The 24,391-nt window shown below is 51.9% G+C and overlaps 3 protein-coding genes across 10 annotated transcripts, besides 7 other annotated features; 2 read left to right on the top strand and 1 right to left on the bottom strand.

Annotated features, from left to right (window-relative positions):
• Positions 3,229-3,368: an enhancer, noted in NCBI's record as "active region_11546". NCBI's record gives its function as "activates an Ori minimal core promoter by ATAC-STARR-seq in GM12878 lymphoblastoid cells {active_cell/tissue: GM12878}" and the evidence as "EXISTENCE:reporter gene assay evidence [ECO:0000049][PMID:35858748]".
• Positions 3,229-4,087: a biological region, named in NCBI's record as "H3K27ac-H3K4me1 hESC enhancer GRCh37_chr17:4634559-4635378".
• Positions 3,268-4,087: an enhancer, noted in NCBI's record as "H3K27ac-H3K4me1 hESC enhancer chr17:4634559-4635378 (GRCh37/hg19 assembly coordinates)". NCBI's record gives its function as "activates a minimal SCP1, AML or CMV promoter by ChIP-STARR-seq in naive H9 embryonic stem cells {active_cell/tissue: H9 hESC(naive)}" and the evidence as "EXISTENCE:reporter gene assay evidence [ECO:0000049][PMID:30033119]".
• Positions 3,379-3,428: an enhancer, noted in NCBI's record as "active region_11547". NCBI's record gives its function as "activates an Ori minimal core promoter by ATAC-STARR-seq in GM12878 lymphoblastoid cells {active_cell/tissue: GM12878}" and the evidence as "EXISTENCE:reporter gene assay evidence [ECO:0000049][PMID:35858748]".
• Positions 3,432-5,611, top strand: MED11 (mediator complex subunit 11). 2 transcript variants are annotated; one of them, NM_001305000.2, is made up of 3 exons: positions 3,432-3,578; positions 3,780-3,910; positions 4,943-5,611. In NM_001305000.2, the coding sequence occupies exons 1-3, from the start codon at positions 3,494-3,496 to the stop codon at positions 4,982-4,984; spliced, it is 258 nt and encodes an 85-aa protein (NP_001291929.1). In that variant the 5' UTR covers positions 3,432-3,493; the 3' UTR covers positions 4,985-5,611. The 2 variants fall into 2 exon arrangements, with proteins under 2 accessions (NP_001291929.1, NP_001001683.1); NM_001001683.4 differs by having other exon boundaries at positions 5,054-5,611.
• Positions 5,537-11,932, bottom strand: CXCL16 (C-X-C motif chemokine ligand 16). 2 transcript variants are annotated; one of them, NM_001386809.1, is made up of 6 exons: positions 11,265-11,932; positions 10,786-10,924; positions 10,412-10,494; positions 7,096-7,512; positions 6,587-6,656; positions 5,537-6,483 (listed from the first exon to the last, which is right to left on the bottom strand). In NM_001386809.1, the coding sequence occupies exons 1-5, from the start codon at positions 11,341-11,343 to the stop codon at positions 6,610-6,612; spliced, it is 765 nt and encodes a 254-aa protein (NP_001373738.1). In that variant the 5' UTR covers positions 11,344-11,932; the 3' UTR covers positions 5,537-6,483; positions 6,587-6,609. The 2 variants fall into 2 exon arrangements, with proteins under 2 accessions (NP_001373738.1, NP_001094282.2); NM_001100812.2 differs by lacking the exon at positions 5,537-6,483 and having other exon boundaries at positions 6,513-6,656.
• Positions 10,445-11,350: an enhancer, noted in NCBI's record as "H3K27ac-H3K4me1 hESC enhancer chr17:4641736-4642641 (GRCh37/hg19 assembly coordinates)". NCBI's record gives its function as "activates a minimal SCP1, AML or CMV promoter by ChIP-STARR-seq in naive H9 embryonic stem cells {active_cell/tissue: H9 hESC(naive)}" and the evidence as "EXISTENCE:reporter gene assay evidence [ECO:0000049][PMID:30033119]".
• Positions 11,351-12,255: an enhancer, noted in NCBI's record as "H3K27ac-H3K4me1 hESC enhancer chr17:4642642-4643546 (GRCh37/hg19 assembly coordinates)". NCBI's record gives its function as "activates a minimal SCP1, AML or CMV promoter by ChIP-STARR-seq in naive H9 embryonic stem cells {active_cell/tissue: H9 hESC(naive)}" and the evidence as "EXISTENCE:reporter gene assay evidence [ECO:0000049][PMID:30033119]".
• Positions 11,804-12,023: a silencer, noted in NCBI's record as "silent region_8043". NCBI's record gives its function as "represses an Ori minimal core promoter by ATAC-STARR-seq in GM12878 lymphoblastoid cells {active_cell/tissue: GM12878}" and the evidence as "EXISTENCE:reporter gene assay evidence [ECO:0000049][PMID:35858748]".
• Positions 11,837-18,123, top strand: ZMYND15 (zinc finger MYND-type containing 15). 6 transcript variants are annotated; one of them, XM_047436923.1, is made up of 14 exons: positions 11,837-12,021; positions 12,523-13,144; positions 13,586-13,820; positions 13,919-14,074; positions 14,335-14,495; positions 15,307-15,459; positions 15,771-15,851; positions 15,995-16,111; positions 16,194-16,282; positions 16,373-16,471; positions 16,629-16,782; positions 16,874-16,932; positions 17,219-17,379; positions 17,823-18,123. In XM_047436923.1, the coding sequence occupies exons 1-14, from the start codon at positions 11,848-11,850 to the stop codon at positions 17,992-17,994; spliced, it is 2,433 nt and encodes an 810-aa protein (XP_047292879.1). In that variant the 5' UTR covers positions 11,837-11,847; the 3' UTR covers positions 17,995-18,123. The 6 variants fall into 6 exon arrangements, with proteins under 6 accessions (XP_047292879.1, NP_001129518.1, XP_047292880.1 ...); NM_001136046.3 differs by having other exon boundaries at positions 11,837-12,054; positions 17,823-18,117; NM_001267822.1 differs by having other exon boundaries at positions 12,019-12,054; positions 16,850-16,932.

The following is a 24,391-nucleotide window of genomic DNA, read 5'->3' on the forward strand; positions in this document are numbered from 1 at the left end:
AAAAGCTTCAACAGTTGTCCCCACCTCCCCCTTTTTATTTTGGTTTCTGTCTTTCATGTTAGAAAGTTTCTTTACATACCTAGAAATTTTTGCTTTCTGCTCACATTTAAGAGCGGGTGCTTAGCTTGACATGGTGGCTCACATCTGCAGTCCCAGCTACTCAGGAGGCTGAGACAGGAAGATCACTTGAGCCCAGGAGTTCAGGACTACAATGACCTATGATTGCGCCACTGCACTCTAGCCTGGGTGACACAGAGAGGCCCTATCTCAAGAAACTAAAAAAAAAAAAAAAAGAGTGAGGTGCCAAGAAGTTGACTAGAATTTCCATGTACACAGTTGGGACTTGCCAACTGTGAGTTTCAGTATGAGGTGATCTGGCCAACTGACTGGTTGGAGAACCCCTGACGTTCACATCGTAAGGTCTTTTCTCACTTACCAAATTCCCCAGAGAAGAGTCTTCCAGTCTCTTACCTGGAAAGTATAAGCCTTGTGCTGGAGTTCTGGAAACTACCACTCACTATATAAACTTTCGTTTTTGTTTTTGTTTTTTCTTGGATACAGGGTCTCACTCTGTCACCCAGGCTGGAGAGCAGAGGCGTGATGAGGACTCCCTGCAGTCTCAACTCCCAGGCTCAAGCAATCCTCCCACCTCAGGCCCCTCCAAGTGGCTGGGACTATTTTTATACTTTTTGTAGAGTTAGGGTCCCACTATGTTGCCCAGGCTGGTCTAAAACTCGTGGGCTCAAGTGATCCTCCTGCCTTGGCCTCCAAAAGCGCTAGAATTACAGGCATGAGCCAACTCACCTGGCCCTAAACTTTCACTTAATCTCTGTTTTTCTTTTTTGGAGACTGAGTCTCACTCTGTTGCCCAGGCTGGAGTGCAGTGGCACAACCTCGGCTCACTGCAACCTCCTCAGCCTCCCAAGTAGCTGGGATTACAGGCACCCGCCACCACGCCCGGCTCATTTTTTGTATTTTTAGTAGAGACGGGGGTTTCACCATGTTGCCCAGGCTGGTCTCGAACTTCTGACCTCAGGTGATCCACCCGCCTAGGCCTCCCAAAGTGCTGGGAATACAAGCGTGAGCCACCGCGGCCGGCTTAATCTCTGTTTTCAACGCAGTACCCTTGCCCTCAACTGTACTCAGGTGCTCTCTAAGCTAAAAAACCTGTTTTCCATTTCCGACAAACTCCAGTATTCTGATGGGTTGGGGGAGATCGGTTGCCAAGATATATAGAGTCAATAAAGAGATCTGGAGGTCTAACTTCAAATAATCCTCCTAATTTTAGTACCACTTTCACCCCAGCTGTAAGCGATGCTACTAATTTCATGGTAAATCAGGTTGCTTGTAAGCTTTCTTTGCTGCTGGCTTAGTTACCACCTCACTGCAAAATGAGTCTGTTTTCCAGCATCTGTCTAAAGTTTTGCTATTAACTCCTCTCCCTTTGACTCCTTTTTAAAACAACTTTAGGCCAGGCACAGTACGCTCACACCTGAAATCCTGGCACTTTGGGAGGCCAAGGCAGGAGGATCCTTTGAGTCCAGGAGTTCAAGACCAGCATAGGCAACACAATGAGACCCTGTCTCTACAAAAAAAATTAAAAATTAGCCAGATGTGGTAGCACACATCTATGGTCCTGACTCTTCAGAAGGCTGAAGTGAGAGGTCACTTGAGTATGGGAGTTTAAGGCTGCAGTGAGCCATGACTGAGCCACTGCATTCCAGCCTGGGCAGCAGAGTGAGACCTTGTCTCAAAAAATAAAATTTTTTAAAAAAAGCAACTTTCTGTTATTTTATTAGCATTTAGGGAAGGATTAAGTCAAATGCCAGACCCATCAAGTTTTTTGTTTTTTGAGGCAGGGTCGCGTTCTGTCACCCAGGCTGGAGTGCAGTGGCACAATCCATGGCTCACTGCAGCCTCGACCTCTCAGGCTCAAGAAATCCTCCTATCTCAGCCTCCCAAGAAGCTGGGAATACAGGCATCAGCCACCAAGACTGGCTATTTTTTTTAATTTTTAATTTATACTTTTTAAAAAATTATTTGAATTTATTTATTTATTAGAGATGGAGTTTCACTCTTGTAGCCCAGGCTGGAGTGCAACAGCGCAATCTCAGCTCACCGCAATCTCCGCCTCCCAGGTTCAAGTGATTCTCCTGCCTTAGCCTCCTGGGTAGCTGGGATTACAGGCATGCGCCACCATGCCCAGCTAATTCTGTATTTTTAGTAGAGACGGGGTTTCTCCATGTTGGTCAGGCTGGTCTCGAACTCCTGACCTCAGGTGATCCACCCGCCTCGGCCTCCCAAAGTGCTGGGATTACAGGTGTGAGCCACCAAACCCAGCCTTTATTTTTTAAATATAGGAGATGGGGTCTCACTATATTGCCCAGGCTGGTCTCGAAGTCCTTAGTTCAAGTGATCCTCCCACCTCAGCCTCCCAAAGAGCTGAAATTACAGGAGTGAGCCACCATGCCCAGCCCCCAAATTTTTTTATAAAGACAGTATCTCACTATGTTCCCCAGGCTAGACCATTCAGTTTAACTGAGTCTAACCTTCATGTGCTAACCTTGGGCAAACTAGTTTCATTCTTGATAATCTACTATAAACTGTTACAAACGATCTTTCCAAAAAAGGTAATTCTGGTCATAACACACTTCTTAAAAACCCTTTAAAGGCTCAAATGTCTTCAGACTCAAGTCCAAAGTACATAGCTTGCAAGCCTTTTCCTGATTCCGCTCCTCTCTCCAGCCTCACCATTGTCATACCTAACCCCCACCACGCTCCGTTCACTCCAGGCAGGCAGAATCCCTTGCTGGACTCCACATGCGCTGTTCCCGTCACAGCACCATGCTGTTGCCTATGCCGTCTCCCTTTTCCACTACAAGCTTTCATCCACGTAGTTCACCTTTAAGATTCAGCTCACGCCTGTAATCCCAGCACTTTGGGAGGCCGAAGAGGGTGGATCGCTTGAGGTCGAGTTCGAGACCAACCTGGCCAACATGGTGAAACCCCGTCTCTACTAAAAATACAAAAATCAGCCGGGCGTGGTGGCGGGCGCCTATAATCCCAGGCACCCGGGAAGCTGAAGCAGGAGAATCGCTTGAACCTGGGAGGTGGAGGTTGCAGGGAGGGAGATCTTGCGACTGCACTCCAACCTGGACGACAGAGTAAGACTGTCTCATAAATAAATAAACTTGTGTAGAATAAACTAGAGGCCACAGACAGTGTCAAGAAGATGGACAGGTCTGAATGGCCTCGGGCTAGGGGATATTCCACTGTCGCCTCTGACTACGGGTGGTCCTGTGGCTGAGGCGCAGCGGGCCCTGGGAGTTGTAGTTCATCAAGCGGACCGAGGAGGCGAGGCTGCGCTGAGCATCCTGGGAATCGTAGTGCTCGCTACACGGTGCCCTCTGCGCAGGCGCACACCGAGAGCCACTTCCGGAACAAGCGTCGCGTTTCTGAGGAGAAACTCTTGGTGAGAATTCCCAGAGTGATAATGGCTACCTACAGCCTGGCGAACGAGAGACTACGCGCTCTGGAAGACATTGAACGGGAAATCGGCGCCATCCTTCAGAATGCAGGTTCGGGATGCGACAACCTGGACAGCGGGGAGCGAAAGCGTGACCGGGCTGCACTGGCAGCCTGACCTGGGACTTGGAGCAGGGTTGGGGAGGGAATCCTACGTGCGTGCGCAGCGAAAGGGCGGGACTGAGAGGGGCTGGCCTAGGGAGAGGCTACACTGGCAGTCTCCGTGTGTCCCCGCCCTCTCTCCGCCCTGGCAGGTACTGTGATCCTAGAATTGTCCAAGGAAAAAACTAACGAGCGGCTCCTAGACCGGCAGGCGGCGGCCTTCACCGCTTCAGTGCAACACGTGGAGGCGGAGCTGTCAGCTCAGATCCGCTACCTCACCCAGGTCGGTGTGTCTGGGGGGTTCTGCGAGCGAACCCCAGCTCTGGGTCAAAGCCTCAGGCTTGGGTGATCCAGGGTGGAGCATTAACTGGGCAGGACCAGACCTCCCCAGCCGGCCATCCAGAGCGGGTTTCTTCCTCTAAAAGGAAAGAATGGGCCGGGCGCAGTGGCTTGACAGAGTTCGAGACCAGCCTGGCCAACACGGTGAAACCTCGTCTCTACTAAAAATATAAAAATTAGGCCAGGCTCGGTGGCTCACTCCTGTAATCCCAGCACTTTGGGAGGCTGAGGCGGGTGGATCATCTGAGGTCAGGAGTTCGAGACCAGCCTGGCCAACATGGTGAAACTCCGTCTCTACTAAAAATACAAAAATTAGCTGGGCTGGTAGCGGGCACCTGTAATCCCAGCTACTTGGAAGGGTGAGGCAGGAGAATCGCTTGAACCCAGGAGGTGGAGGTTGCAGTGAGCCAAGATTGCAGCACTGCACTCCAGCCTGGGTGACAAAGCAAGACTGTCTCAAAAAAAAAAAAAGCCGGGCTTGGTGGTGAGTACCGGTAACCCCAGCTACTTGGAAGGCTGAGGCAGGAGAATCGCTTGAACCCAGGAGGCGGAGGTTGTTGTACTTAGCCGAGATCATGCCATTGCACTCCAGCCTGGGTAACAGAGCAAAAACTCTGTCTCAAAAAATAATAAATAATAAAATGAAAGAATTAAAGGTGGCCCTGCATACCTCACTGGGTAACATCACATGTGCCTAGCAGAAGATGTGTAAATAATGCTAGAACTACAGAACTTTGTCACTGGAAACTTGGCCTGACCTCCAGGCCACGAGGTCCCAAATCCTTATATCCTGAGAAGAGGGACAGGATTGAGAAGGTTCTGAAATCGTCGCAGGGACCACTACCATTACTAATTTTTACGGTGTGCCAGATACTCTGCATTACTTTATCTAATCCTCAACAACTCTAGGAAGTAGTTATTGTCACCCCCATTTTACAGACAAGATTAACATAAGTTAAATGATTTATTTACCCAGCTACCAGATGGCCTAACAAATTCAAACTCAGGGAAGAAATGAGACGAGACCTGATGCCTGGTTGGAGTTAGGGTAAAGGAGATGGTGCTCCATTGATAGTCTGTCTTGTAGGTGGCCACAGGGCAGCCCCATGAGGGCTCCAGCTACTCTTCGAGGAAGGACTGTCAGATGGCTCTGAAGCGAGTGGACTATGCCCGCCTCAAGCTCAGTGATGTGGCTCGAACCTGTGAGCAGATGCTGGAGAACTAGGCCAGGGAGATGGACCCAGAGCTGAGAGGGAGACCATCACCTGTGCCATGGGACAGAACCTGGGAACATGTAGGGTGGGGAGTATGAGCACCAACATACCCTGCTGGTCAAAGTACCCTAGGACAAAGGGGCAAATGGTGGGCATGGAAAAACTGAAGCCCGAGCCTGCCCACAGCTATGCTTTGGCCTCTCCAGCAGGGTGCTCCTGCTCTGCACTCCAGAAACACCCTGACAGGCTCAGAGAGGAGATGGAAACTGACATACCCAACCCACTTCCTCAAACACTTCATGCTGCTGCCCCAGCCTTCCCGCAGACTTGGCCTAATGAAAATACATACTTCTTCATTCGGAGAGACAAAACAAGAACTAGAGTTTTAATGATAATAAAAGCAATAATAATAAAAGCAATAACAATAAAAACAAGATCAGACTCTCACTGGGGTAGGCAAGGGACTGAGGAGGTGAAACCAACCCGTATGGTGTCCCAGCACGGCACCTGCTAAGGAGGGAGGGTGGGAAAGCCCAGGCCTTCGCTGCGGGTACAGGAGGATGCAGGAGAGGGCTGAGGTGGGGGAGGAACAACTGGTGTACTGGGAGAGAGATTTGGGACGAGGGGGAACCATCAGCAAAAAATGAAGCCAGGAATCACAGTAAGGGCGCAAGGGCTGAGGCCAGTTGTTTCCATAAAGAAGACTCAATCATTACAAAAATAATTTTTAGTAGTTAAAAAACACACATAGGGCCAGGCATGGTGGCTCACACCTTTAATCCCAGCACTTTGGGAGGCCTGGGTGGGCAGATCACCAGGTCAGGAGTTCGAGACCAGCCTGGTCAACATGGTGAAACCCCGTCTCTACTAAAAATACAAAAAATTAGCCGGGTGTGGTGGTGAGCACCTGTAGTCCCAGCTACTCAGGAGGAGGCAGGAGAATCGCTTGAACCTGGGAGATGGGGGTTGCAGTGAGCCGAGATCATGCCACTGCACTCCAGCCTGGATGACAGAGCGAGACTCCGTCTCAAAACAAAGCAAAGCAAAACAAAACAAAATACACATAGAATTTGTCCAAGTTATTATCACCCAGTGTGAAAAGCAGATTTTATAGTATAACCGTTTTTAAATGAGGGGCCTAAGAGAGGGCAGTGGCTGGTTAGTCCTATGTTAGATATTAACAAATACGTGTAGGCTGGATGTGGTAGGTGACGCCTATAATCCTCGCACCTTCAGAGGCCAAGGTGGGAGGATCACTTGACTCAGGAGTTCCATAACAGCCTGGGCAACATAGAGTCCGTCTCTAAAAAACAAAAAACAAAAACAAGTATGTATACAGTGCCTACCATGTTGTCAGGGGTCAGTCTCCTTTATTACACTTTTTGTAAGAATAAGCCACAGTTTACCCTCACAAGCTTCCATTCTTGGCTCAGGTATTAGAGTCAGGTGCCACAGGTATATAATGAACCGGCAGATCTGGAAAGGATAAAGAAATTGAGAGATGAGCTCTGAGATCAAGGACAGTGTTTGGGGGATGATAGCTTGAACTAGGGAATCAGATGAAGACATCAACACTATGACCTGGCCCACAGTAGGTGCTCAGTGAAAATTTGTGAATTGAATGACTGGCCCTCACCTCCCTCCACAGCTTCATCTCCCACTAGCTTGCTCTAGCCATCTTCTCCATGATGTTGCTCCAAGCACTAGTCCTTGTGCCTGTGGTGGCTTCCTTCCCTCTCCACTGTCTACAGTCCCCGACTGACTGTCCTCAGAGGGCCCAGAGTCAACCTTGTGCAGACAACCTTGATACTTGTGTGCCAAGGCCAGGTTTCCAGCCACCTGAGAGCCACTGGGTCAGGATGCCTGTCAGGAAGGCTCTGGGTCCCTGGGGGGAGGGTTCAAAGGTCCAGTTTACCTGGAGAGGACTGCGGTGACTGCCCCCTCCTCCTCTTGCACAGCACATAGGAAAGGGCTGCGGTGAGGATGAAGATGATGGCCAGGAGGCACAGGACTGGCACTGTGGCTGATGTCCTGGCTGTGGGACCAGCATTTTTTTCCGGCTGCTTCTGGTTCTCCCCAGCCTCAGGCCCAGCTGCCAGACTGTGGCCCGCAGTGTGAATGGTGGTTTCATTGGGACGAGTGAGCTCTTTGTCCGAGGACAGTGATCCTACTGGGAGGGTGGGGCGCTGAGTGGACTGCAAGGTGGACAGGAGCATCTGGGCAGGGGTGTGGATATCTGAAGATGCCCCCTCTGAGGCCTGAGAAATTGGGGGGCTGGTAGGAAGTAAATGCTTCTGGTGGGCCACAATCCCCGAGTAAGCATGTCCACATTCTGGAAAGGAAAGAAATGAGGAATCAGGACTATCAGGAGACAAGGTGAAAAAGCAGATAGAGGTGTAGGGGAGAAAAAGTAATATCTTTTCCTCACCCATCGCAAGGGTCAAGGCTGATACCCCTATAAATAAAAAACATTAACAAGAGAAAAGCCTAACATTTATTTAATCACAGTTTTACATGACATAGGAACCTTCAGAAACAAAGACCCGAGAAAAGTGCATTTTTATGCTTAGGCTTGCTGTGAAGAATGGACAGCTGTATAGACGTATGATTGGATTGGCCGGGCGCGGTGGTTCACGCCTGTAATCCCAGCACTTTGGGAGGCTGAGGTGGGTGGATCACCTGAGGTCGGGAGTTCGAGACCAGTCTGACCAACATGGAGAAACCCAGTCTCTACTAAAAATACAAAATTAGCCAGGCATGGTGTCATGTGCCTGTAATCCCAGCTACATGGGAGGCTGAGGCAGAATCGCCTGAACCCAGGAGGTGGAGGTTGCAGTGAGCCAAGATTGCACAACTGCATTCCAGCCTGGGCAACAAGAGCGAAACTCCATCTCAAAAAAAAAAAAGAAGTATGATTGGACAAAAAGGGTATGATCTAATGGCAATAAATGGGGGGTGGGGGACCAGCAAGGCCTGTCCAGATTCTTCTTGGCCTCCAAGTATAGGGCAGGACCCATCTGAAATGAGAGCCTATGACCTACTTCCACGTGAAGTTAGAGAATTCCTTTATGGCCAGCTCTCACAGAAAAACAGAGCAGAGTGAGCTACTTACTTCTGCTGTTTTCGTAATTACCAAGGTGCCATGTTTTGGAGTGTCATGTTCTGAGCTCCAACAGAGGGAAGAGTGAGTCAGGGAGGTTATCACGCTGAAGGCCAGAAGAGGAAGGCAGATGACAGACGGAAAAGGTAGGGGACAAGGAAGTGAGCGAACCACGAGACAAGTGGGTGTCATGAACTGGGAAATCAGAAGACCAGGGTTGGATTCCAAGCTCTGCTGTAAAGTAGCTGTGTAACCTCAAGTAGCTGTGTAACCTCACCCCTTGTCCCTAACCTCTCCGGAAGTGATATCTTCCAGCTGTAAAATGAGGATAATTGTAGTACCAAGGGCCAGGGTTCCTGGGAGGATGAAAGGAAATCATAGAGGTCTAGGCAGACTTAAAGGCAGTATGGATGACACAGATCCTACAAAACTTTAGCTAGGACATGGAAGAACCTTTTGTATTTTAATGGTTGTATATTTATTTTAAGAGAAAAATATAACCAATGCATCAAACTTGTGACTTCACAGATATTATTGCTTAGGATAATTTACTATTTAAGTTTTCTTTCTTTTTTTTTGTTGCCCAGGCTGGAGTGCAATGGCCTGATCTCGGCTCACTGCAACCTCCGCCTCCAGGTTCAAGTGATTCTCCTGCCTCAACCTCCTGAGTAGCTGGAATTACAGGCACATGCCACCATGCCTGGCTAATTTTGTATTTTTAGTAGAGATGGGGTTTTACCATGTTGGTCAGGCTGGTCTCAAACTCCTGACCTCAGGTGATCCACCGGCCTCAACCTCCCAAAGAGCTAGGATTACAGGAGTGAGCCACCGTCCTGGCCTCTACTTAAGTTTTCAAAACTAGTTTGTGCACACTTAAAAGTAATTCATTTCATTGTATGTAAATTTGAACTCAAAAGAAAAAAAAGCATTAAAATATTGAACTCTACTTAATATACATGCTGAAATGTCTTGGGATGAAGTGCAATGATGTCCACAATCTGCCTTGAAATGCATCAAGAGGCCGGGCACTGCGGTTCACACCTGTAATCCCAGCACTTTGGGAGGCTGAGGCAGGTGGATCACCTGAGGTCAGGAGTTTGAGACCAGCCTGACCAACACGGTGAAACCCCATCTCTACTAAAAAAATACAAAAATTAGCTGGGCATGGTGGCGGGCACCTGCAATCCCAGCTACTCGGAAGGCTGTGGCAGGAGAATTGCTTGAACCTGGGAGGCGGAGGCTGCAGTGAGCTGAGGGCACCATTGCACTCCAGCCTGGGCGACAGAGCAAGACTCCATTAAAAAAAAAAAAAAAAAAAAAAAAGAAATGCATCAAGAAATAAGGTGATGGATGATGGATAGAAGAATGAATAGATGGATACTTAATAAAGCAAATATCGTGTAATTGCTGTAAAATTGATAGTGTAAAATATATGTTTATGTAAATATGTAAAATATACATATATAAATAAAATTGTAGAATCTAGGTGGAGGCACTGGATATTCAGTGTGCCATTCTTTCAACTTTTGTATATGTGTAAATTTTCATAATAAAATATTGGAAAAGAAAAATAGGCCAGGTGTGGTGGCTCACGCCTGTAATCCTAGCACTTTTGGAGGCCGAGGCGGGTGGATCACAAGGCCAGGAGTTCGAGACCAGCCTGGCCAACATGGTGAAACCCTGTCTCTACTAAAAATACAAAAATTAGCCAGGCTTGGTGGTGCGCGCCTGTAATCCCAGCTACTCAGGAGGCTGAGGCAGGAGAATCTCTTGAACCTGGGAGGCAGAGGTTGCAGTGAGCCAAGATCGTGCCACTGCACTCCAGCCTGGGTGACAGAGTGAGACTCCATCTCAAAAAAATAAAATAAAATAGTACTTTGATTTCAAGAAAAATATTAATAAGTAGACAATAGCACACGTGGTAGAATGAATTGGCAAAACTCATGAAGGTGATGGTGAATGATCACCCCGTTTGGCAAACAGGGACTCGAGTCTAAGTACTTTGGACAGGATCAGAAGAAGGTTCTAGGAATGTGCGGCCCCAGGGGAAAAGGCTCAGGTAAAGAAAACTGTCAGGTGGAAGCTGCTAAGCCCTGGAGGCAGAGCCTGAAGAGCAGTGGAAAAGTCTCACCTTTGAGATCAAGACAGCTCATCAATTCCTGAACCCATGGGTCCTTGTTGCCCCCACACACGCTCCAGGAAAGGAGCTGGAACCTGCGGAGGAGAGACCTGGGCTTAGCTGCGGCGCCTTCTTTCCTTCCCCGGCTCCTTCCTCATTCCAGAGGCGTGAAGTTGCCACCAAGAAAGAGCCCTTTCTCCTGGGACTGGGAAACTCCCCAGTAGGTGAGACGGAGTCATGAAGTTTCGGGGAATGAGAGCAAACGGAACCCGGAGATGGGGCTCGGTGAGCCGGGAAGGAGTTCAGGCTGGACCAGAGAGGGTCCTGGAGGCACCTGCAAGGAGGGGCCGCCCAGGCGCTGCCCTCGCAGAGGCAGGTAAAATTACCTCGTGTAGTATAGACACCGATGGTAAGCTCTCAGGTGTTTCCGGAGACGATTCATGAACTGAACCGATGGCGGGGAGTCGGAAGAAATTCTTTTACCACAATAACAACTTCCAGTGACGCTGCCCTCGTTGCCATTGCCTGCGCGGGACGGAGGTGGTCGGCACCCATTCCCAGGCCCAGGGTCCCCACTCCGCTGTTCCCTGGCATCCAATCCACAGCCCCATGACAGCCTCTCGGTGGACCCAGGGTCAGAGCGCCAGGCTCAACCCACACATCATCACGCCCCCGACAACATCCATAATCCCGCCCGGAGCCAGGCGTCCCCGGGCCTCTGTCCCCAACCCCAGGCGGCTGGCTGGCTTTCCTCTTGTCCCCGCTGCCTTCATCCACTCAACTCCGTGGGCCTCGTGTCCCCTCCCCAACTCACCCCCTTCCCGTGACAGGGGAATCTGGGTCCCCTGCCCCGCCCCCGGCTAACCTGGCTGAGTCAGGTACACCAGCAGGAGCAGAAGCAGGAGCAGGAGCACGCGGGACCCGGGCCGCAAGTCCCGTCCCATCTCGGGGCTCCGCGGACTCTGCGGGGATGGAGCCACCTCGCTCTGACTCCCAGACATGCTCCGGCGCGTGACGTCCAGCTGGTGTCTCAATGGCTTTCGCCGGGGACCGGAGGAGACGGCGGCCGGAGAGGAGGCGCGAGCCAGCTGCACCCCCCGGCCCTGCTGTGCCCCGACCGTGCGCTCAGTACTCGGCCCGCGCCATGCCAGCCTCTGGACGCAGGGAAAGCCGAGGAGGTGGAGCTCCCGCGCCCTGCGCCCCCGCACTGGGCCCGGCTCCGTCGAGGGAAGGCCAGGAATCTTGGAAGAAACCGAAAGAAAACTCCGGCGGCGGGCGAGGAGGGGCGGGAGGACGACGGCCCGAGGAGCCGATTCGGTTCGGTTCAGGAGGCCGCCCGCCTGGCCCGTCCGCCGACCTGTGAGGCGGCTGCACTGCCGGACCGGCCCTCCTCCTCCGAGGCACTTTCACTTCCCCGATCCGGGCGCCGCGGGACCCAGCCGCGCTGCATGAGCCTCCCGGGCGGCCCGGTGGAGAGAGTCGCCGCCAGCCCCGGCCGCGCGCACCTGCGGGGCAGCCACCCGCGGACGCACCGAGCCCGGGGGGCGTGGCCGCCCGCTGAGCCGGCGAGGGCTCGGGCAGCCCTGACGTCACAACCGCACCCGCGCACCCTCCACCGCGAGGTATTTACCTTCGAAAAGTGGTGGCGGCTGCAGGTACCGGAGGAGTGGGGCGGCCGGGAGGGGCTAGGTCTACCGGGGCTGCCCGCCACGCAGATCCGAGCCCAGGGAACCCCCTCGCTCCCACTCCCATACCCCACAGACGCATCCAAAATGCTTCCCTCCCCACCAAACCGTTCCCGATAGGATTAGCCCTCTCTCCTCTCTAGCCTTAATTTAAACTCTGCTTTTGAGGGTGTGAACTCTCCAATTTTAAGCCCCAAATACCATCTCATCCCTGAGTAGTCTTCTCCAACCCTGGTCACCCACTTTCAAGTCCAGCCCCCATTTTCCTCCCTAAACTCCCATCCTCAGCCCTGAAAAATCCTCTTCTCCGCTCCTAGCATATCCACGGATCCAACCCTAAGTGACTCTCAAACCTACCCTCTCCCTCAATTTGTGACCCAGCCCCAAACTCCATCATTGCTCTCCTGTCCCTCACCATATATCCCTTCTTTTGCTCAGTCTGGGCCGGGGCCCTGTGCCGCTGAAGACATGGAGTTTGTGTCTGGATACCGGGATGAGTTCCTTGATTTCACTGCCCTTCTCTTCGGCTGGTTCCGAAAGTTTGTGGCAGAGCGTGGAGCTGTAGGGACTAGCCTTGAGGGCCGCTGCCGGCAGCTGGAGGCCCAGATCAGAAGGCTACCCCAGGACCCTGCCCTTTGGGTGCTCCATGTCCTGCCCAACCATAGTGTGGGCATCAGCCTGGGGCAAGGGGCAGAACCAGGTCCTGGACCAGGCCTGGGGACTGCCTGGCTCCTGGGAGACAACCCTCCACTCCACCTGCGAGACCTGAGCCCCTACATCAGCTTTGTCAGCCTAGAGGATGGGGAGGAAGGGGAGGAGGAAGAGGAGGAAGATGAAGAAGAAGAGAAGAGAGAGGACGGGGGTGCAGGCAGCACAGAGAAGGTGGAACCAGAGGAGGACCGGGAGCTAGCCCCTACCAGCAGGGAGTCCCCCCAGGAAACAAACCCTCCAGGAGAGTCAGAGGAGGCTGCCCGGGAGGCAGGAGGTGGCAAGGATGGCTGCCGAGAGGACAGGGTGGAGAACGAAACAAGACCCCAGAAGAGGAAGGGACAGAGGAGTGGTAAGAACCCAGGGCTGGCCCTGCCCTACCCCTTGCCCAGCCATCCTCCCTTCGGAAGCCCTCCCCTGCCACTAGTTCTGAGTGCTGGCCTTCAGGCCAATCTGGCCTGAAAAGGTGTTTTTATTGACCCACAGTGGGGTTTTTTTTTTTAATTTAATGTTTAAACATTGCAAGAAAAAAAGTATCCAGAAGTCTGGATTTACACATTCCCAAGAAAAATCTCAAGCTCTGACAGTGGGCCTACATTTCTGCATGGCAGCGCATTCTGGTCCTCTGTAGCAGCTGTCCCCTTTAGAAGGAGCGTGCCCTCTCTACCCAGAGCCCTTTACTCAGTGAGGTTACTTGCCTAGCCCCGTAGGTATTTGAGTTTGGTACTCCTGACCCTGACCACATTTGTCTCTCGCTGCCCCCTACCACCTCAACTTTTCCCTCTTTCCCCAGAGGCTGCCCCCCTGCACGTTTCCTGTCTCTTACTTGTGACGGATGAGCATGGCACCATCTTGGGCATTGATCTGCTAGTGGATGGAGCCCAGGGAACCGCAAGCTGGGGCTCAGGGACCAAGGACCTGGCTCCTTGGGCCTATGCTCTCCTCTGTCACAGCATGGCCTGTCCCATGGGCTCTGGGGATCCCCGAAAGCCCCGACAGCTTACTGTGGGAGATGCCCGGCTGCATCGGTATAGAAATCTGGTATCTGAGGCTGGGGAGGACTCGGGCCCTGGATTCCCAAGCACCTCCTCCAGCCTGATGCCATCTCCCCCCCAACTGCATTTAGAGAGCTGGAGAGCTTGGTCCCAAGGCTAGGTGTGAAGTTAGCCAAAACCCCAATGCGGACATGGGGTCCCCGGCCAGGCTTCACCTTTGCTTCCCTTCGTGCTCGAACCTGCCATGTGTGTCACAGGCACAGCTTTGAAGCGAAGCTGACACCTTGGTGAGCAGCCCCAAAGCTGGGGGAGAGGAAGACCCCAATAGGCAAATAGAAGGAAGGCAGGGTGGTGGGGGGCGCCTAGCAGACAGAAGGAGAGGCAGGGACATGAGAAGATGCAGAGGAAACAATACAGACTGTTACAGGCGGTTAGAGGGTGTAAGACAAACAGACCGAGTGACATATGGGCAGCTGCTGGGCAGTTGAACAGCAGACAGGACCTACAGAGGTTAACACTAGGTGCCCACCACCCGCTGTGTCCCCAGCCCCCAGTGTAGTGCTGTCTTGTATTGTGGAGAGGCTTGTCTCCGGGCTGACTGGCAGCGGTGCCCAGATGATGTGAGTCACCGATTTTGGTGCCCAAGGCTTGCAGCCTTCATGGAGCGGGCAGGAGAACTGGCAACCCTGCCTTTTACCTACACCGCAGGTACCATAAGGAGGTCAGAATGGTTGGGGGAAACTGGGACCAGGTCTTTGAGACTGGGAATTAGATGTCTGGGAACAGGGTCCTGCAGTTGAAGGCTGAGTGTCTGGGGCTAGAGCCTAGATCCCTGGAACAAGGGCAGGGGCTGGGTGTTTGGGGCTGGAGACAGGGTCTCTGAAGCCGAGGCCTGAGTGTCTGGGTCCCTGAGAGCGTGCAGGGATTGGGGGACAGGGATTCAAACACTTACTTGCTTCCCAGCTCCACCACTAACTGCAGTGTGACCTTAAACAAACCACTTTACTTCTTGAAGCTTCCGTGTCCTCATGAGGGATACGGAGAAGGCCCATGGAATTGTTACAAGGATTATCTTGGCTTGGTGCCTGGTACGCTGGAGGCACTCAGAAATGGTAGTTCCCGGCCTGACTGGAACCAGACTTAGAACCAGGGTCCTCGCGGGAGGCTAGGGAGAGTTCAAGGCTGGGGTTCTAGGCCGGGCAATGGTTCACACCCGTAATCCCAGCACTTTGGGAGGCCAACTTGAGCCCAGGAATTTGAGATCAGCCTGGGCAACATAGACTCTGTCTCTACAAAAAATAGAAAAAATTAGTCAGGCATGGTGCACTCGCTTGTGGTCACAATTCTCGGGAGACTGAGGTGGGAGAATCGTTTGAGTCCAAGAGGTCGAGGCTGTAGTGTCCCGTGATCACGCCACTGCACTCTAGCTTGGGTGATAGAGCAAGACTCTGTCTCAAAAAAAAAAAAATGTCTGGGGTTCTAGCCCAGCACCTCAACTCCTCCCCTTCTCCTTCTCCAGAGGTGACCAGTGAAACCTTCAACAAAGAGGCCTTCCTGGCCTCTCGGGGCCTCACTCGTGGCTATTGGACCCAGCTCAGCATGCTGATTCCAGGCCCGGGCTTCTCCAGACACCCCCGAGGCAACACGCCATCCCTCAGCCTTCTTCGCGGTGGTGCGTGGGGTCTCTCCAGGCATGGGCCCCTTGGCCTAGAGGGAAGGACTGGGAAGAAGTTGTCTGGGTCCCAGATGATCCCTCCACATACACACTGACCCCTACCAACAGCACCAGGGCCATTTCAGGCCTTTCCCAGCCCTCAATGGAATCACCCCTACCAACTCCACCCAGAAACCCCATCCCTATGCAAACCCCCATTCCTCTTACTGCGGCTGTCTCAGGGAATACAGCCCCTTTGGAAGGAAGAAAGAGATGGGTCAGGTGGGGGTCTCCCTGACCCCAGGCCCCTCCTTCTTTCATCCTCTCAGGAGACCCCTACCAGCTTCTCCAGGGAGACGGGACTGCCCTGATGCCTCCTGTGCCCCCACATCCACCCCGGGGTGTTTTTGGTGAGCTGGAGGGGCCCTGTGGAAGCTAGGGGTAGGGCCAGGGACTGGAGAACCAGAGCCTGGGTGGCTGTGAAGAAGAGGTTTGTTAGACTAGAGGGGGTGGGGGTCCAGGGCCAGGTCCTCTAGCAACCCTCTCCTGCCAGGCTCATGGCAGGATTACTACACATGGCGGGGCCTCAGCTTGGACTCCCCCATAGCCGTGCTTCTCACCTACCCGCTGACCGTGTACTACGTCATCACCCACCTGGTGCCCCAGTCCTGTAAGGAGAGCGGAGTGGGGGGTGGAGCAGGATGGGGGAGTGAGAGTGGACCACATCCTTAAAGCGCTGGTTTTTCACCCAGTCCCTGAGCTCAACATCCAAAACAAACAGTCACTGAAGATCCACGTGGTGGAGGCCGGGAAGGAGTTTGACCTTGTCATGGTGTTTTGGGTAAGTCACCCCAGGCCTGAAGGTTGGGCATTTTGGTATGGGGGTGGGCACAGGGTAGACCCCAGATCTTTCTTTCTTTCTGTCCTTCAGGAGCTTTTGGTCCTGCTCCCCCATGTGGCCCTGGAGCTGCAGTTTGTAGGTGATGGCCTGCCCCCCGAAAGCGACGAGCAGCATTTTACCCTGCAGAGGGTGAGGGCTGAGGGGGCCCTGCTTTTCAGCCCTGACCCCTCCAGTGACCTCCTGGTTGGGTCCTGCCCTTCTGCCCCCCACTCCCCATCTTGCCTGGTGCATCCTCCAGTTCCCTGACTTCCAGTGGCTTTTCCACCCCACTCCTGGGGCCCCTCAGGACAGCCTGGAGGTGTCTGTCCGGCCTGGTTCCGGCATATCAGCACGGCCCAGCTCTGGCACTAAGGAGAAAGGGGGCCGCAGGGACCTGCAGATCAAGGTGTCAGCAAGGCCCTACCACCTGTTCCAGGGGCCCAAGCCTGACCTGGTTATTGGTAAAAGCCTGGGTCTCAGGGTTAGGCATGTGGGGAAGGTGGGAGAGAAGCCCACCGTGGGAGCCAGCTTCTCCCTCCTCTCTGTCTGCAGGATTTAACTCCGGGTTTGCTCTCAAGGATACGTGGCTGAGGTCTCTGCCCCGGTTACAGGTGGGCAATGGGGGCAAAAGGGAACTTCTCTCCCCTCCTGCCTGGCCCCTCCCCATCTCCTTTTCTGAAAGTCTCTGGGCTCTCCTCCTCTTCACCATCACCTGCTCCACAAACCTGGGGAGTGCCCACGGGTCCCCCTGCCTCTCTCTGTGTCTGTCTCCGTCCTCCCCCTGCTCCCCTCCGCCCGGTCTGTCCGGGGACCTCGGCTTTCAGCCCGGTCTGTCATTCTGGCTGCTGGGATGGATTTGGGGAGGGGCCTCTCAGAGCGACTCTCGCTCCACCCCAGTCCCTCCGAGTGCCAGCCTTCTTCACCGAGAGCAGCGAGTACAGCTGTGTGATGGACGGCCAGACCATGGCGGTGGCCACTGGAGGGGGCACCAGCCCTCCCCAGCCCAACCCCTTCCGCTCCCCCTTTCGCCTCAGAGCGGCCGACAACTGCATGTCCTGGTAAGGGTCTGCGACCCTATTTCCTTCCTGACCCTTAACTTCTCTTACTCTCTGGCTCCACATCCTCGAAGGCCCACCTCTACCCTAGTCCCTGCTGTCCTGGGGCCCTCCTGCCCCCAGCCCAGCAACCTGCCTTCTCTGTCCCCACTACTCGTCGCCCCCATGGGAGGTCTCGACATCCCCCAGCACACCCCTCTTTAGATCTAGCTCACGGAATCTCCCCAACCCACAAAAGACCCCGCGACCCTCCAACAGACCCAACCCTGAGTCTAGCCCCACGCCCTGGAACTCAGAGGGGCAAGCCCCGCCCCCTGGTCCCTGACCGCCCGGTGGAGCCCCGCCCCCTGGTCCCTGACCGCGCCCCTGGGAGCCCCGACCCCTGGGAGCGCCGACCCCTGGGAGTCCCGCCCCGTGGTCCCTGACTGCGCCCCGCGCCCCCGCAGGTACTGCAATGCCTTCATCTTCCACCTGGTTTACAAGCCTGCTCAAGGGAGCGGGGCCCGCCCGGCGCCCGGGCCCCCACCCCCATCCCCAACTCCCTCTGCTCCTCCTGCCCCCACCCGAAGGCGCCGAGGAGAAAAGAAACCTGGGCGGGGGGCCCGCCGGCGGAAATGAATGCTGATACCCTAGTAGTCCCCAGCTCCCAAACACTGAAAGGAAAACGTGAAAACACTCAAGGCCTAGGGGGAGGACAGGTTGGTAAAACATGAAAAGGTAAATAAAATTACTTGTTTGAAACCACTGAGTCATGGATCTTTTGATTACACGCTCATAATTGGGCCATTAAACTGGGAACGAAGAGAAAGATTTTTTTGTTTGTTTGTTTTTTGAGACGGAGTTTCCCTCTTGTCACCGAGGCTGGAGTGCAGGGGACACGATCTCGGCTCACTGCAACCTCTGCCTCCCGGGTTAAAGCGATTCTCCTGCCTCACCCTCCGGAGCTGGGATTACATGCATGCGCCACCACACCCGGCTAATTTTTGTATTTTTAGTAGAGACAGGGTTTCGCCATATTGGCCAGGCTGGTCTCGAACTCCTGACCTCAGGTGATCCGCCCGCATCGGAAAAGGAGTTAGGGATGACTTACTTTCCCCCAGACCCTTTTAGTCCCCTCAACGGCTGTCATTTCTTTAACTCACAGTCAGGGATTGTGACCCTCCTTGGTAATCCCATGGTTCTCCTAATTATGTGTTGGCTAGTCACTTTCCAGCCCCGGTAACCCTCAGGGACCGGCCCCAAGGCAAGGAAAGTGGCTTCTTCCTGGGGGCGGGAGAAGCAATCAACCTCCTGGGACCACACAGATCCTTGGTTTGGATTCAGTGAAAGGCCCCAGCCACCCAACTCCACCTTTTCTCACCACCTCGTATTCAATAATCAACTCCTGCTGAGCTCTTCTGAAATCACTCAAGTCCATCAAGGTATGTCCATTCCTGCTGCAAACTCCACCGTATCTCATCGCCACATTGCAGCCCAGAGTATTCCTCCTCAAAAAAAGACATCTGAGGGCCGGGCACGGTGGCTCACGCCTATAATCCCAGCACTTTGGGAGGCCGAGGCAGGTGGATCACCTGAAGTCAGGAGTTCGAGACCAGCCTGGCCAACATGGAGAAAACCCCGTCTCTACTAAAAATACAAAATTAGCCGGGCATGGTGGCACATGCCTGTAATCCCAGCTACTTGGGAGGCTGAGGCAGGAGAATCGTTTGAACCTGGGAGGCGGAGGTTGCAGTGAGCCGAGATCGCGTCATTGCACTCCAGCCTGGGGGACAAGAGTGAAACTCCATCTCAAAAAAAAAAAAAAAAGAAAAGAAAAGAAATTAACCGGGTGTGGTGGCATGGGCCTGTAATCCCAGCTACTCAGGTGGTTGAGGCAGGAGAATCATTTGAACCTGAGAGGTGGAGGTGGCAGCCAAGATCGCGCCACTGCACTCCAGCCTGGGTGACAGAGTGAGACTCTGTCTCAAAAAAAAAAAAAAAAGACATCTGACCTCATTTCTCCCTCGCTTCAGTCCCTTCAGTGACTTCCCTTAGCTCTTAACAGTGTGGGCTGCCCTTAATGACTTCAGTCACTGAGTATAGATAGGGAAAAACAGAGGAGAAACCTGGCAGATACCACCTTAACCAAGGGATTAAGGTGAACAATTAAGTCCTGTTGATGTTACTCTTTTTTTTTTTTGAGAAGGAGTCTTGCTCAGTCGCCCAGGCTGGAGTGCAGTGGTGCAATCTCGGCTCACTGCAACCTCCGCCTCCTGGGTTCACGCAATTCTCCTGCCTCAGCCTCCCAAGTAGCTGAGACTACAGGCGCACGCCACCACGCCCAGCTAATTTTTGTATTTTTAGTAGAGACAGGGTTTCACCATGTCGGCCAGGATGGTCTCAATCTCTTGACCTCGTGATCCGCCTGCCTCGGCCTCCCAAAGTGCTGGGATTATAGGCGTGAGCCACCGCACCCAGCCCTGTTGATGTTACTCTTAAGTCTCTTTCATTTTGTAACATACCTCCTTGGCTTTTATTTTTTATTTCATGACACTGATTTGACAAGACACAGAATCATTTGTCCCGTAAAATGTTCCTCACTCAGGAGCTGGCTGATTACTTCCTCAGGGTGTTTTTTCATGTGTTCATTTATCTTCTTCAGTTCCTGTCAACCAGTAGTTAGATCGAGATGACAAGGTTCTGCTGATGTGGTCCCTGCCAACCTCTGCAGGCTGATCTCATGCCATTTCCTTCCCCTGTCAACTCTGCAGCCAGATGCTTCTAAATAAAGACGCGCTCTCTCACTGTGGAACTTCCCATGTGTTTTTTGTTTTGTTTTGTTTTTGAGATGGAGTTTCGCTCTTATTGCCCAGGATGGAGTACAGTGGTACAATCTTGGCTCACTGCAACCTCCGCCTCCCGGGTTCAAGTGGTTCTCCTGCCTCAGCCTCCCAAGTAGCTAGGACTACAAGCGCCTGCCACCACGTGCAGCTAATTTTTGTATTTTTGGTAGAGACGGGGTTTCACCATGTTGGCCGGGCTGGTCTCCAACTCTTGACCTCAGGTGATCCACCCACCTCGGCCTCCCAAACTGCTGGGATTACAGGTGTGAGCCACTGCACCTGGCCAGAACTTCCCATGTTCTTGCTCAACTAATTCTTAGCCTAGGTGGCAGCCTAAATGTCACTTCCTTAGGAAAGGAAGCATTTCCTGACCCCCAGATGAGGTTAGACACCCCTCTCCCTATTAAGCCCTCATAGCACCTTGCATATGCCCTTTGATGACCTTTATCACACAATTTCTTGTCTACCCTTTCAACGGTCAACCCAGAAGGGGTGGGTGCTACCTCTATCCCCCAGGGTCTAGCCTGGCCGGGCATATGGCAGCATACAGTAGGAGCTCGTTAACTGCTTATCAGATTGCTTTCCCCCCATACTTTCAACCCTCCCTCCTCATCTTTTCTCTCAGCTTCACCTCCTACAGCCAGAAAGGGGAAGCCTGGGTCTCTCGTGGACTGAGGAGAAATAGACCTTTTCACCACTCCGTTGGCCAAAAAATAAGCTTTTCCTAACTCCTGACATCTATTACATAACAATAGGAAAGGATGTGGTTATCTCCCAGTGGTGGGGTTACTAAGGATTTGTTTATTCATTTTATTTAGCTGGACTGCTCATTTTTCTTCCATGAACACAAGTGCTTTTGTAATAAAAATGCTTAATATACAAATTGCTCTTTAATAATTCACTTACCAACTATTGATTGAATACACAAGGCTTTGTGCCGAACCTTAGCGACGCAATGGGGAAAAAAGACACATAATGGTCTCTGCCTCCATAAAGCTTACAGTTTAGGGCAGGGATCAGTAAACTACGGCTTCCAGCCAAATGTAGCCCACCTTTTGTTTTTGCATGGCTCGTAATCTAATAATCAGATTTCACAGCCGGGCTCATGCCTGTAATCCCATCACGCCTGTAATCCCAGCACTTTGGGCGCCCGAGGCAGGCGGATCACGAGTTCAGGAGATCGAGACCATCCTGGCTAACACGGTGAAACCCCGTCTCTACTAAAAATACAAAAACAAAAAATTAGCCGGGCTTGGTGGCGGGTACCTGTAGTCCCAGCTACTTGGGAGGCTGAGGCGAGAGAATGGCGTGAACCCAGGAGGCAGAGCTTGCGGTGAGCCGAGATTGCGCCACTGCACTCCAGCCTGGGTGACAGAGCGAGACTCCGTCTCAAAAAAAAAAAAAAAGAAGATTTCACGAGAAAATTATTCGAAATTCAAATTACAGGGTCTATAAATTTATATTGAAGCAGAGCCACAACCATTTCTTTCTGTATTGTCCGTGGTTACTTTCTGGATGCAAACGGCAGGGTTTGAGTGCCGCAATTGCAGCAGAATCCCTATATGACCTACAACGTCTGAAATATTTATGAACAGATCCTTTGCAGAAAGTCTGCCAGCCCCTAGTCCAGGACAAGATTTCCAAAATGCAGGTTTATACAATTTTGTGTGGATCATGAAGTCAATTTAGTGAGCCTCAAGCAGCATCTTTTTTTAATGAAATAGAATAGATAAAAATATGTATCACATGTATAATTAATAACTATTTTGTGAAACATTTGTTATACATACGATATATGCTTATATGTGTATGTGCTGCATCCTGATGTAAAATGTATTTCTTACTGTGGACCATGTTCAAAGCATCTGAAAGGCTGGGTGCAGTGGCCTGTAAACCCAGCACTTTGGGAGGCTGACGTTGTAGGATCACTTGAGGTCAGGAGTTCAAGACCAGCCTGGGCAACATATTGAGACTTCATCTCTACTTTTTAAAAAAAAAAATCTGAAGGTGTCTGGCTTAGAGGGAAGCCTGGAATAAACAGAGAAGTAAGCAGAAAATAACAGTACAGTGTAATTGGTGCAATGATGAGTTACAGACCCTTAGGGTATATCAGAGGCACTTAAGACAGCCTCAGGGCTGTCAGTGAAGGCTACCAGGAGGAAATGACACCCAAACAGTGACCTGAAGGACACGTAAGAGTTAGACAGGTAAAGAAGAGAAGAGCCGCCGGGTGCAGTGGCTCACGCCTGTAATCCCAGCACTTTGGGAGGCTGAAGTGGGTGGATCTCAAGGTCAGGAGTTCAAGATCAGCTTGGCCAAGATGGTGAAACCCTGTCTCTACTAAAAATACAAAAATTAGCCAGGCGTGGTAGCAGGTGCCTGTAATCCCAGCTACTTGGGAGGCTGAGGCAGAGAATTGCTTGAACCCAGGAGGCAGAGGTTGCAGTGAGCTGAGATCACACCACTGCACTCCAGCCTGGGCAATAGAGCAAGACTCCATCTCAAGAAAAAAAAAAAAAAAAAGAAGTGTGGTGGGATGGGAAGGGCAGCATGGATCTGTTTGGGATGCTAGTCTCAACCCAGCCTCATGGACTGACGTCTGAGCCCTGCAAGAGGAACCACAGGCAGAGGCTGAAGGAAGAGTCACTGTATAGAGCCTCTGGAAGGTCAGCAGGGCACAAACACCACAGCACAGCACCTAAATCCCCGGAATCAGTGTCACACGGGGGGCAGGGATCCCCCCATTTCTCAGGGGACACAGTGTGGTTTTGAGAGGCATTGAGAATCCCAAGGAACCCAAAAATGTGGCTCTGTATGACTTCAATCGTTTTTCTTTTTTCTTTTATTTTTTTGAGACAGAGTTTCGCTCTTGTCGCCCAGGCTGGAGTGCAATGGTGCAATCTCGTCTCACTGCAACCTCCGCCTCCCGGGTTCAAGCGATTCTTCTGCCTCAGCCTACCTAGTAGCTGAGATTACAGGCATGCATCACCACGCCTGGCTAATTTTGTGTTTTTGTGGGTTTTTTTGTTTTGTTTTTGCTTTCTTGGGTTTTGTTTTGTTTTGTTTTGTTTTGTTTTTGTTTTTGTTTTTGTTTTGAGACTACAAGCGCCCGCCACCGCACCTGGCTAATTTTTTTCTTTTCGTGCTTTTAGTAGAGATGGGGTTTCACCGTGTTAGCCAGGATGGCCTCGATCTCCTGACCTCGTGATCTGCCCGCCTCGGCCTCCCAAAGTGCTGGGATTACAGGCTTGAGCCACCGTGCCCGGTCTAATTTTGTATTTTTAGCACAGATAGGGTTTCACCATGTTGCCCAGGCTAGTCTCGAACTCCCGTCCTCAGGGGATCCACCCTCCGTGGCCTCCCAAAGTGCTTAGATTACAGGCGTGAGCCACAGCGCCTGGCCAATTTCAATTTTTTAAAATGTATTGGGGTTGGTTTGATGGCCCGGGATATATGCACTATATTGGTATCTGTTGCATGAGTACTTGAATACGTATTCTCCTGTCATTGGGTGGAATGATCTATAAGTATTCACTACATCCTGTTTGTTTATGACATTGTTGAGTTCTTCTATCTCCTTACTGGTTTTTGTCTAGTTGTTCAATCAATTGCTGACAGGTGAACCATGAACTATGAATTTAAACAAACCTGGTTTGAAACTGGACTCATCTGGTTACTAGCTGGGTGGTCACGAGCAGATTTAGAATTAGACTCTGGAGAAACTCTTCTGAGATCCAAACTTTACTGGTCTGACATGGAAATTACAAGTAGCAAACGTTCATATAGCGCTTACTCTGTGCCAGACTGTGTTCTAATCACTTGGCATTTATCAGTCTATTCCTCACACAACAAACTTAAGTCAGGTGTTTATTACCCCCCATTTTACAGATGAGAAAACTGAGGCACAGGGAGGTGAAGATAAAGTAACCAAGTAGGCTGTGAACAAACACAGGCAATCTGTCTCCAGAATATGCACTTTTAACCCCTTCGCCATTCCGCTTCTGGGAAAATGAGGCAATTTCCTGGGATAGTTAAGAAATGTTTGCTATGGAAGCCCTTCCTTCCTAGAAGCCTGTCTCTGTCTCGCTCTTTTTTTTTTCTTTTTTTTTTTTTCTTTTTTGAGACATACTCTTGCTCTGTCACACAGGCTGGAATGCAGTGGTGGGATCTCAGCTCATTGCCACATCCACCTC

The sequence above is a fragment of the Homo sapiens genome, chromosome 17, assembly GCF_000001405.40.
Source record: "Homo sapiens chromosome 17, GRCh38.p14 Primary Assembly".
NCBI classification, from domain to species: domain Eukaryota; kingdom Metazoa; phylum Chordata; class Mammalia; order Primates; family Hominidae; genus Homo; species Homo sapiens.